Raw genomic sequence first — 14,082 nt, forward strand, 5'->3', positions numbered from 1 at the left:
TATACATGTAGCAAGCTGCTAGGTTTCTAAAAATATTTCAGAAGGTTTATTTTGATTTTATTTTTAAACATTTTGGGTGCCTACACAGTGTTATCTTCCATGTTTTTAATAGCCACACTATACAATACAGAGTAGGTTTCTGTGGACAAATACAGGTGCCTATCATTTATAGCACAGTCTCTCTGGGACCCGTGCAAACAACTGACTCATGCGTTTATGAGACTGGGTTGGTTTGTGAATCGATGACGCCCAGGGAGCTGGGAAGGCTGCATGGCATGGACGCTTCCCCAGTGGCTCTGGATTTTGCAATCATTTGGCTAAATTTGCTCATGATGCACATTCCCTCACCCCTTTCCCTGATGAGGACAAAGATGGCTAATTTTCCCTGATTGGATCTGTTGTTTTGAGTGACCGAGAAGAAAGAGATACTTTGCTGAAAGCACAACATATTCCGAGGGAGAATACTGAGCTTTGGAATTCACTTTGCAGACATCTGCGAGGATGTTCCGGGAGCCAGGCTTGTTATAGCTGGCATTGCTGGAATTCCACACCCCCCCATGCCTCCCTTAAGAGATACTTGATAACCCCAGGGCCTAATTTCTACTTTTGGAACATACATACCTTGTGAAGTGGAGGCTGGAGGTGGGAAGGAAAGCCCCCTTGAGGCTGTGGATCTGGTTCTCATGTTTTAAACAGTTTTAAATATTGGGGCTGGAGATGCCTGAAGGATGGGTATTTGTTATGGAAAACCTTGACTTTTTTTTTTTTCTTTTACATTGTTCACATTTTAAAACAAAGTTCAGAGAGCTGTGTACATTGAGCATGCTTTATTAGTTCATTCATTTATGTGTGAAACACTGTTCTGGATGCCAGAAATGTGGCAAGGAGGAAGGCCTGGCCGAGGAGTGACACTTCCACTGAGCTCTGACAGATGAGAGCTTGTCTTGGTGGCACACCAGTGCCGCGGGACATGGTGACATGCTGTGGTCCACAGCCCTCCAGTGACCATGTGAGCATAATTAAATACAAACTGTGGGAGGCAGAAAAGTGAAAATGTGGTCTCTGCTCAAGAAAGAGTGCAGGTCTTAGAGACAAAGTCTGGGTCTAAATCTTGGTGCTGCCCCTGGCCCAGGTGTAAGGCCTCAGAGGAAATTACCTGCCAGAGTTTACACATCTCTAAAGTGGAGAGAAGAGGTGCTGTGAGGATCTCATCAGACAAGATGGTACAAAGAAATCACCGGGGCTGGCCTCGTGGAGGGATGATGTGTGTGTCTGACTCAGAATCAGTAGAAAAAGCTTAAAATGTGGTTGCTGGGACAAAACTAATCTACCAGAGAAGCCGTGGCTGGAGAGCCTGTGTTGAGCTGTGTGGTGCTGGTCTGTGCTGGAATGCCAAGGAAGAGGCAGGAGCTGCCTCCAGTAGGTGAGCCTCGAAGAAAGAACAGGATTTTCATAGGTGAAGGGAGACAGATTTTTACTGGAGGAAAAAAAAATGTCTAAAGTAAAGGTCATAAAAACAGACTGTGGGCCGGGCGTAGTGGCTCATGCCTGTATTCCCAGCACTTTTGGAGGCCGAGGTGGGTGGATCATGAGGTCAGGAGATCGAGACCATCCTGGCCAACATGGTGAAACCCTGTCTGTACTAAAAATACAAAAATTAGCTGGGTGTGGCGACATGTGCCTGTAATCCCAGCTACTCCGGAGGCTGAGGCAGGAGAATTGCTTGAACCCAGGAGGCAGAGGTTGCAGTGAGCCGAGATTGCGCCACTGCACTCCAGCCTGGCGACAGAACTAGGCTCCATCTCAAAACAACAACAGCAATAAAAAAAAAAAAAGTGCAGCTGCACAGTTTAAGAACAGAAGCTTCTTTTGTTGGGTACTTGCAAAAATATTCCCTTCCTCTTGGTAGCGTGGTCTAATGGTATTAATGCCAACAGTGTGAACCTGAGCATAAGGTATGCCCTGAGTTTGAGTAGCTTTTCAGTGCTGAGTTGACTACACAATTACCAGTGACAACACTGAGAAATCTAAGAAGACTCCACTTGACTTGGGGGGTGGGTAATTTATTTCTTGGACATTTTGGCTTCAGTGTAGGTTTAGGTAAGTATCATATGTCAGGGATGGCAAGTGCATTTTATTTTGTGTCTGCACTAACCAACCAATTGGTAGTGACTGCAGGGGTGCAGTGATGAGGAGGATTCTGAAGCCAGATTTGCGCTTAGAGAGAAAACGATAATAACCCTTTATTGATATAATTTGGACTTAGGCTTCGTAGAGGAAACTGTAGCACAAACGGTGTGGATCTGTTATCTCTGGTTGGGAGGTTTTCTATGTACATGACAGTATGAAGATGTTCATTTATTCACCCAACAAATATTTATTAAATCTCCGCTATGGACATAGCATTGTACTTTAGATTCTTAGCCCTCTGGCTTCTTCATTAGTTAATAAATTATTTCAGGATATTGGTGGTTAATGCTGCTTGGTTAATTAGTGGGGGTTTTTAGTCTTTTTCTCATAAGTGTTTCAAAACATTTTATGAACAAAGCCAGCTTTCTTGTGCCCATAAATGCTACATTGAAATCTTTCTCAGATCCCTCTTATTTTTTGAGACAGGGTCTCTCAGTCTATCACCCAGGCTGGCATGGGGTGGCATGATCATAGCTCCCTGCAGCCTTGACCTCTCTGGGCTCAGCTGATCCTCCTATCTCAGCCGCCTGAGTAGCTGGGACTACAGGTGCGCACCACCACACTCAGCTAATTTTTGTATTTTTCATAGAGATGGGGTCTCCCTGTGTTGCCCAGGCTGGTCTGAGACTCTTGGGCTCAAGTGACCCACCTGCCTCAGCCTCCCAAAGTGCTGGGGTGACTGGCGTGAGCCACTGCCCGGCTGATCTTCGTCATTTCATTTAGCATACAATATGTGATTTTCCTAATTACTTTATGAAGTCATCACTGACAGTCTGACTTTAGAGACAGGAAAACAGAGAAATTAAAGAACTTCTCCAGAGCCAATATTGGACTTGAGCCGCATGTCAGAAATATTTCCTGCTTCTGCATCTCGGAGTCAGGTGCCATTACTTGTCTTCAGAACCTTAAACTTTCGTAGCTTAGCTCTGCCCTGGTAGGAGAAACTTTCAGAAATCATTTTAAGCCTCAAGAGGTGAAAAGGATGAATGACTTATCTAACACTTTTTTTGGGACATGAATTCTGTATTTTTTTCAGTAACCATGAAGAATATAAAATACGAACCACTGAATTTATTAAAGTAATACAAATTAAAAAGTAAAAGTTAAATTGATAACATATGGACACCGTAAATTAAGTGGTGATATATGTGCTAATCAGTTAAGAGAAGTGGGCAAGGGAAGTGGGACCCATCCACAGGGAAACGAGGCGGGTAGACTTCCAGGGGGAAGTGGGGGCTTCTTGGGGGAGAGCCACTTGGTGCCCATGCTCTCAGGGCCAGGCCATGTGGATCAGATGAGTTGAGTCCCAGTGACTCCACATTTTCTTTTTTGAGATGGAGTCTCACTCTGTTGCCCAGGCTGGAGTGCAGTGGTGCAATCTTGGCTCACTGCAACCTCCACCCCCAGGGTTCAAGTGATTCTCCCTGCCTCAGCCTCCCAAGTAGCTGGGATTATAGGTGACCGCCACCATGGCCGGCTCATGTTTTATATTTTTAGTAAAGATGGGATTTTGCTATGTTGGCCAGGCTGGTATCGAATTCCTGGCCGCAGGTGATCAACCTGCCTCAGCCTCCCAAAGTGCTGGGATTACAGGCGTGAGCCAGTGCGCCTGGCCAACTCCAGATTTTCAGACTCCTGGTTGATTCTCCTAGGTCTCCAACCCTAGTAAAAGGAGCCTTTTTACAGGCTTTTCTTTTTTGCCATCTTCCTTTTTGTACAAGGTGGGTTTAGGGGGAAGCTGTAGCACTCAATGTTATAAGTTTATTTTTTCCCCCCAAATAGAAAAGTTTTAGTTGTCAGGTTCATTTGAAGACATTCGAACCATCCTGAACTGTGTGAAACAGAGAGCAACTCTGCTTTCATTTCCAAACCTCAAGTTTATTTTTGAAATTGTTTTCCCAGGGAGTTCTGAAGGGTTGACTGTATACAAAGACACTTCCTTTAAAATCTGAAGAGTTTGGTCAGTTTCCTACATTTGCACTACAAAACACGTAGAGAGAAAACATAAAGCTCAGTTTAGGTAAGGCTGCCTCTTTCTGTCATGTTAGGGAATACATTGAAACTAATATGTGTTTTGCTAATCTTGGCTTTCCACACCCTGATCTTTCAATTTCATCTGGTTGAGGTTCTAGTGTGAATATCCCCATACAAAATTCTGTCTTCCCACTAGTTCCACAGACACATCCTTTAGGAGTAAATGTGTTAACCACTGTTTAGCAAGCTTGTCCAACCTGCGGCCCGTGGGCTGCCTGTGGCCCAGGATGGCTTTGAATGCGCCCAAAGCAAATTCGTAAACATTCTTAAAACATTTTGAGTTTTTTTTGTAATTTTTTTTTTAAACCTCATCAGCTATCATTAGTGTTAGTGCATTTTATGTGTGGCCCAAGACAATTGGTCTTCTTCCAATGTGGCCCAGGGAAGCCAAAAGATTGGCCACCCCGGATTTAGAGGTTTTAGCTCATGTTTATCATCAGCCTGGTAGTATCTTCTCTTTAAATGAGGCAGTCACAGGATCCCACTCAGGGGAAATTACTTTTTGGTTGGTGGGTCAATTCTTATTTCCTAGAATTAAGCTCAAGACTGCACTGAGACTCATCACCTCTCTACCCACTGTATTAGATGCTCTTTTAAGTGATTTGTATGGTAAAATAGAATTACTTGTTCAAAGCAAACATACCTAGAGTCTCTGCCCCATGCTAGGTACTATGCCGATTGCTTGGGCCAGCCTGGCTTGACTGATGGGGACTCTTGTCCTTGGAGGCAAGGGCCAGCCACAGCATAAAGGTGAAGGTTTCAGATTGCCTGGTTGCATTTCCTCCGTAGCCACAGGGCCCCTGGAATGGCTGGTGAATATGCATGCAGGTCCTGGAGGTGCCACTGAGAATTAGAGTTGTGGGGCGGGGATGTGTGGACCAGCATTACGTGACTAATCTCCATGCTCAGCTGATAACATGTGATGGCCCAGAGAGAGGAAATGTTTCTATCTGGCATATGTTCATAGTTCTTCCAAGAGCTAAGCCCTTTGTTCTTACAAACACACTCGCTGATCTCGCTAACTAAAGCAATTATCATCATTTAGCAGTCTTTTCATAAAGTATTATTTCCACTCCAAAACACCACTTTTATTTGCCAAGTGCCACAATGTTGCATCCTGGCGATTGATCAGCGTTTACTGCCAAATTATGTAAGCCTTTGGTTAGGCTTAGTCCCCGACGGCGCAAGCGTGTCTGTGGTGTGCATTAGGATTGTAAACGTGGCCCAGTGCCTGGAAGTGGAGAACAGCTGTCCCTAAATTCATTAATTAATTCAGTGTTTACACTTTGATTGGGAAGGAAATCCACATTTGCTTAAGACACCAGTGCCCAGCTGAGAAATGTTGTTCCATGAAATTATTGGATTGAGGTTTGTTGTCAAGGAAATGTAAATTGTGGATGTTTCATGAAATTTAAATATGTGGATTAATTGACCAACAGGGAGCTAAGATTGTAATAAGCCAAGGTGGCTTTATTCAAAGATTGAAATGTAATTAGTGTTGACTGTAGTAGGAATAGCTATTTGAATGGACCATAAATCCTGCACAAGAATTTTACTAATAAAAGAGGAAATATTTTCATTGAAAAGTCAGTGTCAGCATAAGAACTGATTTTTCTTACAACACTTATTGGTGAGTAGAATAACCCCATTTAGTAAATACCACACACAAAAAATTTCTTCTGTTTAAAAAGATTATTAGAAACTTTAACAAATATGAAGACTTCTAGAGATGCAGAATAAAATATGCCAATGCTGCTCAGAAAAAAGGGGTTAAGACACACCTGGTTATTTTGGTGTCAGCCCTCACGCATCACTTCATTAGTCTAAGGCAAGCTCGCTGTACTTGTCCTTAGTATTGAGTTGTTTTATGATATTAGTAGCCTTGTCAAACCAGATAAGTTTAGAAGTTCTTCTCCTTTTCAAAATTCCACTCAAATGGTAGTAAGGGGAGAAAAAATGTTTAAACCTGCAAGAGGCAAAAAATGGCAGTGGAGGCTTTGGTGGCAACTCCTGCAATGATGCAGGGGTGATCCCCGGGCTGGCTGAGGGTTAGACCCCTCCACCCAAAGTGCCCACATTGCTGAAATGAGGTGCTTTGCCTGCAGAACCACAGAGAGGCTCAGAAGTGGGAAGGCATTGTTACCATAGTAGGCCAGAGAGATTGGCCAAATATAGGGAGTTATTAAAACCAGCATAATTAGACCCTACACCCTGTCCCTGTCTCCCTTCCCCACCCCAGCAGCAGCCTGGAGGTCTGTTCTCTGGAGAAATGGAACTGGAATGGTGTTGGGGTGTTGGTGGGGGTGACTAAAAAGAGAGACTGATGACAGCTGGGAGCTTGGTCACTCTTCTGCTCTGTCCATGATGGCAGCAGCCAGGCGTGTGCAGCCCCAGCAATGAAGTGGAAGACTTTCCTTGAGAAATTGAACAACTCCAGAAAAAAATGCCCCCAGATAACTGAAATGTATGGGTTCTTCAGTGGAATACTTTTTTCTTTCACATTAATTGACACTCACCAACTAATAGTCTTCTCCACACTTGCAGAGCCACCAATCTGCTTTGGTCCTTCATTCTTAAATAGGATCAGGCAGTCAGGGTTCATCAGGTGTATTACCAAAGCCTTCAATATGAAAAGTAGGGGCCAAAACAGGAAAAGAACAACCTTGCAGAAGATGGTGTTGTTGCAGAAAGCAGAGAAAACGTGTTTTTAGAAGAAAGTTACAGTTTTCCTTGCAGAGAGAAGTTATTTCATATCCAAAATAATAATAACATTTATGAAAGAGGAGCAATTAGAGAACAAGAAAGAGCTATTGAGTATTACAAATTAAATACTGGAATTTAAAAAATGTTGAAGTTGTATCTCTGAAAAGTAGAGTAAAAAAGATGGAGTTAAAAAGCAGGAGAGAAAAGAAATATGAAAAATTAAAATGTGATCTAAAAAATTCAACATTGCTATTATAGTAGATGCAGAAACCAAGAACAAAATAAAATAGTAATCTGAACATTATCACAGAAAGAATGCAAAAATATTTTATAGAACTAAAGACATGAATTTCCAAATTGAAAGAATATATATATTATGTGCTCATGTTTTATAAAAGAGTCCACTTTCCCCAATTTTATAAAACCCACCCCTGGGTATGCCATTATGAAATTTCAGAATACCAGTGATAAAAGGTCCTAAAAGCTTTAAGGGGAACGTAAACAGGTCACACACAAAGGAAAGGGTACAATGAGCTTCAGAATTCTTAAAAACATCCTTGGAAGCTAGAAGATAATGAAGTTTGCAAAGCTTTAAAAAATACGATGGAAATTATTTCTAACCTGGCTTCTATGTCCAGCTAGACCACCAATCAAAAGTAAGCATAGAATAAAGACATTTTTCAAAATACAAGGAGTCAAATTTTTTTTCCATAGGACTTTTTCTTAGAAAACTACTGGAAGTGTCTTCTATCAGACCAATTGGGTAAACTAACAAAGAGGAAGACATGAAACCCAGAAAATAATATAACACAAAAGGAAGAGAGCAATGAGACCCTAATATAGGGTAGGAGGAGGGAAGACTGTAAAAAAGAGGTCACCAAATTACCTGATATTTTGATCATTTGGAAATTAATACCGATAAGCATCTCACAGATGTAATGTAGTTGAGGGAAAGATTTAAGGATAGGTGTATAGAAAAGACAAGTAAAACAGTAATCGATCATTAACGCTAGAAAAGTAAAAATTTTATAAGAAAAGTTCTGTAAGACCATAGTATATAATTTTTTAGTGAATATTTATATTGTCATAATAATGTAAATAGTTGACTCTTGATTTTATTATTGGTAGGTTAGCCAAGTGAGAGACTTGTATGTATGGTGTGGTATCCACCCTATGTAGAACCAATAAGTTAAGGAATCACAGTCAGGAATATTGTTTAGCAAAAGGGAGGTAAGTATTAGAAGAAATAGCTGAAATTTGCAGGTTTTTTTGTTTTTTTTTTTTTCCTCCTGGGCAGTGTGTTCAGGATCAGGGAAGGGAAGCTGAAGAATGTAGGTTTTCACTTATTTTACTTTGATTAAAAAATAAATTATTTAAAAATACTAGTATAACTGAAAATGAAAGTTGACAATGAAATATTTGGAATTGGTGAGATAATGATAAATATTACAGATGAATGTACCTCTCTGAGTTGTTCCTATCTTTAAAGTGGTAAATGATAGTAGCTAAAATGTTTGAGATTTAAAAGAATTATCACCAAGCAAAACTGACAACACTATGCTACTGGTAGGAAACTGAATATATTCAGAAAGCCCCAAGACAGAACAGAGAGACAAAACAAGTAAAGATGTGCTAGAGCCAAACAACATAATTATTAAGGTTGTACAGATGGATAGATTTTGAATGTTATCCCTTAAAATGGAGACTACACCTAGTACCTGTGAAGCATTGACAAACATTATCCGTATATTTGCTCACAGAGGGAAGCTCAATATATTTAAAAAGGAAGAAATGGTAGAGACTTCATTTTCTGACCACAATACAGGTAGAGATTAGCAACATTTACAAATAAAGACCCTCCAAACAAAAACAGCACAGCAACAAAATACTACATATGCAACAACTTTCTCAGAATCAAATCTTGGGTCAAAGCAGAAATCAAAACCCCAAAGAGAAACTATCTAGAAAATAGTAATAGAAACATTACTGTGGTGGAAACTGTTTACTGCCTTTCTAAAGTCCATTCTCCTCTCTCTTTTTACTAACAGAACATTGATTTTGTTGCATGTTGATGACCAGCTTAAGTACCCTATTTTCCAGTCTCCCTTGCGGCTGGGGGTGGCCATATGATTAAGTTCTCACTAATAAGATATAAGGGATTATTGTTAGGTGGGGATTCCAGGAAAGCTATTTAAAAAGAAGGTTGAGTCACTTGGCCTAAGCTTTTGGGCTATGTGATGCTGGATCAGCTATCTTGTAATCATAATCATAAGCTATCTTTAATCACATGTTAAAGACAGATGAGTGGAAAGATAGAAGGGGTGCTCCTTATCCCAGGGTCTCTTTCAGTCCTAGACTTCCTATCTCTGGGGAAAAGTTCCTGTCTTAAGCTGCTATGTGGGGAGTCTATTAGTAGGAACTGACATAATTTTTAAGTGACATAGTTACAAACCACAATTTATGTGATTAAAGAATGAAAATAAACAAGTAAAGCGTCCAAGTCAAGGAGTCAGAAATAGAACAACAAAATAAAACAAAGGAAAGTGGAAGGAAATAATAAAAATCAAACTAGAACTCAGTAAAGTTGAAAATTAAAGAAAAAAATGCTTGATAAATCCAGGAGCTAGTTCTTTAGGGAAACAATTTAAAAAAATACATACACATATATATTCTACCAGTGTAATCAAGAAATAGAAGAAAACACAACATTAGATAATAAATGATTTATCCTACCCAAATTCTGCAAATAAATTTGAAAATTGGATGGAATAGATGATTTTCTTGGAAAATGTGCTAGTAGATTGACTCTAGAATAGAAAGAAAACTCAAAAAGTCTCTCAAAAGTGGAAAAAAAAAAAGACAACTGTTATTTGTGACCAGTTGCTACTGTTCTTCCTGGAGTCCCTTTGCCATTGCTGTTTTGCAAAGTGTTAGAAGTGAATTTCTGGTGAGGAACCTCGGAGTGTGAGGCAGGGTGAGCATCCTGCTTGGTGAGCTCTCTGCAGTCATCTGGCAAGGTTGGCCACACACCAGAAAGGCAACGGCAACTATTCTTGGCATCAGGACCCATCACAAAACACAGAGCCCTGAGTGTTCTTCATTTTTTAAATAATATTTTCCAGATCAATATGCTATTGAACTTTTTTGCTAAGAAGAAAAGATTGAAAATGATTTATAATCATTTAATTTCACTGTCAGTCTCACAAACAACTGATTCCTTATGGTAAAAGTGTTGGAAACATTATATTCAAATAGTAGTGTTAAAGATTTTGCAGCAAGATTGTGGGTAAAAAAGGCTGAAAGTGTTTTGAGAGGAAAATGAACTGCAGAGTAACAAAGAAAAATGGTGAGCGTCAGAATTCCTTAGCTCTTAATTATTTTCATGGAAAAGTACCTAGTTCTCAAATGCTGGTAACTGGAACATCCTATTGGTTAAAAATAAACAGCATAAAGTTTCAGGAAACCAACTAAACAGCAAAAAAAAAAAAAAAAAAAAAAAAAAAAAAGGCAACCAGAACAGCCCAAAACAGAATAACAAAGTCAGAATAATGAAGCTACGCCAAAAGTGTCAGGTCATTACACGGGTTGTCTGCCCTCAGGCCAGGGTTCAAACCCAGTGGTGACAAACTCAGTGGCCACGTGGGCTGAAGGGCATCCAGAAAGTCCTGCTGGGTCACCAGAGGGCTGCCCTTCAGCACTTGGTTCTGAGGTGTCTTTGCTGTTTAAAATGTCTTGTTTTCTTTGAACTTTGAAGTTTCCCCTTCCTAATTATTTCAGTCTTCATTTAAACAGATGTAATTCTAACCTAATGTCCTCTTTTTACCCCATCTCTCCCTGGTAGCTGGAACAGTGAACCATGGAGCTGTATTTCGGTGAATATCAACATGTGCAGCAGGAATATGGGGTCCATCTGAGACTCGCAAGTGATGATACCCAAAAATCAAGGAGTTCCCAGAACTCCAAGGCAGGCTCCTACGGTGTCAGTATTCGGGTCCAGGGAATTGATGGTCACCCCTATATTGTCCTGAATAACACAGAACGGTGCCTAGCAGGCACATCGTTTTCTGAAAATGGGCCACCCTTTCCACCTCCAGTGATAAATAACCTGCCTCTACATTCCAGCAATGGTTCTGTGCCAAAGGAGAACAGTGAAGAACTTCAGCTTCCAGAAAACCCATACGCCCAGCCTAGCCCAATAAGAAACCTGAAACAGCCCCTGCTCCATGAGGGCAAGAATGGAGTTCTAGATCGCAAAGACGGGTCTGTGAAGCCATCTCACCTGCTGAACTTTCAGAGGCATCCAGAGCTTTTGCAACCCTATGACCCTGAAAAGAATGAGTTGAATTTACAAAATCACCAGCCTTCTGAGAGTAATTGGCTAAAAACGTTGACAGAAGAAGGCATCAACAATAAGAAGCCTTGGACTTGCTTTCCCAAACCTAGCAATTCCCAGCCTACCAGTCCCTCCTTGGAAGACCCGGCCAAATCTGGTGTGACAGCTATTCGTTTATGCAGCTCCGTGGTCATAGAGGACCCCAAAAAGCAGACCTCAGTGTGTGTAAACGTTCAGAGCTGCACCAAGGAGAGGGTGGGAGAGGAGGCCCTTTTCACTAGCGGGAGGCCCCTGACTGCCCACAGCCCACATGCCCACCCTGAAACCAAGAAAACCAGGCCAGATGTTCTTCCCTTCCGGCGACAGGATTCAGCGGGACCCGTCCTGGATGGAGCTCGGTCCCGGAGGTCCTCCTCGTCATCCACAACTCCCACGTCAGCCAACTCTTTGTACAGGTTTTTACTGGATGATCAGGAATGTGCCATCCATGCCGACAACGTCAATCGTCATGAAAACAGAAGGTATATTCCCTTCCTGCCAGGAACTGGACGGGATATTGATACAGGATCAATTCCTGGTGTGGATCAGTTAATTGAAAAATTTGATCAAAAACCTGGGCTTCAGAGAAGAGGAAGGTCTGGGAAGCGAAACAGAATTAATACAGATGACAGGAAAAGATCCAGAAGCGTGGATAGCGCCTTTCCTTTTGGCCTCCAAGGGAACTCGGAGTACCTGATTGAATTCAGTAGGAACTTGGGCAAGTCAAGCGAACACCTCCTCCGGCCTTCCCAGGTGTGCCCGCAGCGGCCACTGTCTCAGGAGCGCCGTGGGAAACAGAGCGTGGGCCGCACCTTTGCAAAGCTGCAGGGAGCAGCGCACGGGGCTTCATGTGCCCACTCCAGGCCTCCCCAGCCGAACATAGATGGGAAAGTTCTGGAAACCGAAGGTAGTCAGGAAAGTACAGTGATCCGTGCGCCCTCCCTTGGTGCACAGAGTAAAAAGGAGGAGGAGGTGAAAACAGCCACCGCTACGCTGATGTTACAGAACCGGGCAACAGCAACTTCGCCTGATTCTGGTGCCAAGAAAATTTCCGTGAAGACATTTCCTTCGGCCTCAAATACTCAGGTAACACTAGTGCGATTCCTGTTTGGTTTTTTTTCTCTTCCTTCTAAATAATGTAATGATGTACTTATGCTGCAGGAGGCCATAGGAATTACACATCCTCAATCTTGTATCAGGAATCACACAGCTGATCTGTTTCAGGATCCAGTTGTGTCCTACTGACGATGTCCTACTGCCAATTGTATAGTTTTCTGGGTTCTTTGAAGTTCAGCTGGATTCCCATTGTGATCTCTCTGTAAAGTAACTTGGCAGACGCTACAGAGAGGCTCAATTGTTCTGTTTGTGTATGCATGAAATCTGAAAGTATGCAGAATTTGTTTCTACACAGAGGCTGAATAGTTAGGTTTGTGTAGGTATATTAATTTTCCTCATAAAATTGAGTGACTGGGTTAATTTCTAGCCTGAAAAATTAGGTTAATTTTCATTTAGGTTAATTGTCAAGTGAGAATCTAAGTGGCACATTTAGTGTTTTGATAGTAACAATAAAAAATAATGATATTGATAAAATGGTAAAAAAAAAAAAAAAGTAGCTAAGTGCTAGGCACTGTTTGTTATATATTACAGGATTGCACCAACCCTGTGCAGGTAGTACCTATTAACCTCAATTTACAGGTGAGAAAATTGAGGCGAGGAGAAGTTAAGTAACTTCCCCAAGATTATGAAGCTGGTAAATGTTGTAACTGGCTCTAAGAAGGATGCTCACTGGAGGAATTGTTTGGTGTTTGGAAGCCTCTGGGAACTTCATCCTCATGGTCTAACAACAGGCCTTATGTTCCAGGCCACACCGGATCTCTTAAAGGGCCAGCAAGAGCTCACTCAGCAAACCAATGAGGAGACAGCTAAGCAGATTCTCTACAATTACCTCAAAGAAGGGTTAGTGATTTTCCCTCTGAAAGAGCAAAGTATTGTTGTTTCTGGTGGGACTCTTAATTTCCTTTTCCGAGGCTTTAATGGTTACCTTCCTTTCTTGCCCTGTGCCAGCCGTTGGAGGGTTAAAACTCAATGGCTGGGGTTTTCGTGACGGCATTTGTCTTGTGTGGTATGGGGTGGGGGCTTTGGGAGGGGTGTGTAGGAAAGGACACCATACTTTAAAAATTAAAATGAATACATTTTTAAAGTGACCCTTTACTATTTCAAAAGCAAATTCAAAGATAGGAGGAGTTTCTACTCTTCAGGTTTGAATGGAGTCCGCCATCACCTTGAGTTCTTCCGTGCAATGTGGTAGTCCTTTAGAAGTTACAAATAAAAACACCTCCCCTCCCCAGAGTTAACATTGGCCAAGAGCCCCTGCTTCCATTATTTTTAAAGCATGTGTGAGTCATTTAAAAGCAGTGCTTTCCATGCTTATCTTGGTGGTTGAGGTGGAATAATCAGGGTTTCAGCCCTTACTTAGATACTAACTGTGCTGGAACTTGAGCAAGGAATTTGAGGTTTCTGTTTCAGTTCTCTCAACAGATGTGATTAAGAGGAAGGACAAAAAAAAAAAAAAAAGCTTTACAGCCTACATGACTGAAAACCAGCCACTTGGCAAATCCTCATTGGTATCAAAATACTGTATATTTTTGTATTGTGCCTTACAATTATTTGTCAGTTTTAGAGCTAACAACATAGTAAGGCTCAAAATATAAAACAGGGGATCTTTTGAAAGGGGGAAAAAAAAAGTAACCTGAAAGATTAATCTAGCTAAGAACTGGTTATTA

The 14,082-nt window shown here is 41.4% G+C and overlaps 1 protein-coding gene across 22 annotated transcripts in view, besides 3 other annotated features; it reads left to right on the top strand.

The window, feature by feature from the left end:
• CGNL1 (cingulin like 1) overlaps positions 1-14,082 on the top strand; it is a 174,213-nt gene that overhangs the window by 50,712 nt on the left and 109,419 nt on the right. For all 22 annotated transcript variants that reach the window (XM_047433184.1, XM_047433186.1, XM_011522121.3 and 19 more), the window contains 2 exons: positions 10,769-12,385; positions 13,161-13,255. In XM_047433184.1, coding sequence (XP_047289140.1) covers positions 10,784-12,385; positions 13,161-13,255 — 1,697 coding nt within the window. In that variant the 5' untranslated portion in view covers positions 10,769-10,783. The remainder of the gene's footprint in view (positions 1-10,768; positions 12,386-13,160; positions 13,256-14,082) is intronic.
• Positions 226-802: an enhancer, noted in NCBI's record as "NANOG-H3K27ac hESC enhancer chr15:57719640-57720216 (GRCh37/hg19 assembly coordinates)". NCBI's record gives its function as "activates a minimal SCP1, AML or CMV promoter by ChIP-STARR-seq in naive H9 embryonic stem cells {active_cell/tissue: H9 hESC(naive)}" and the evidence as "EXISTENCE:reporter gene assay evidence [ECO:0000049][PMID:30033119]".
• Positions 894-1,394: an enhancer, noted in NCBI's record as "H3K27ac hESC enhancer chr15:57720308-57720808 (GRCh37/hg19 assembly coordinates)". NCBI's record gives its function as "activates a minimal SCP1, AML or CMV promoter by ChIP-STARR-seq in naive H9 embryonic stem cells {active_cell/tissue: H9 hESC(naive)}" and the evidence as "EXISTENCE:reporter gene assay evidence [ECO:0000049][PMID:30033119]".
• Positions 5,974-6,474: an enhancer, noted in NCBI's record as "H3K27ac hESC enhancer chr15:57725388-57725888 (GRCh37/hg19 assembly coordinates)". NCBI's record gives its function as "activates a minimal SCP1, AML or CMV promoter by ChIP-STARR-seq in naive H9 embryonic stem cells {active_cell/tissue: H9 hESC(naive)}" and the evidence as "EXISTENCE:reporter gene assay evidence [ECO:0000049][PMID:30033119]".

The sequence above is a fragment of the Homo sapiens genome, chromosome 15 (assembly GCF_000001405.40).
Source record: "Homo sapiens chromosome 15, GRCh38.p14 Primary Assembly".
Lineage (NCBI taxonomy): Eukaryota > Metazoa > Chordata > Mammalia > Primates > Hominidae > Homo > Homo sapiens.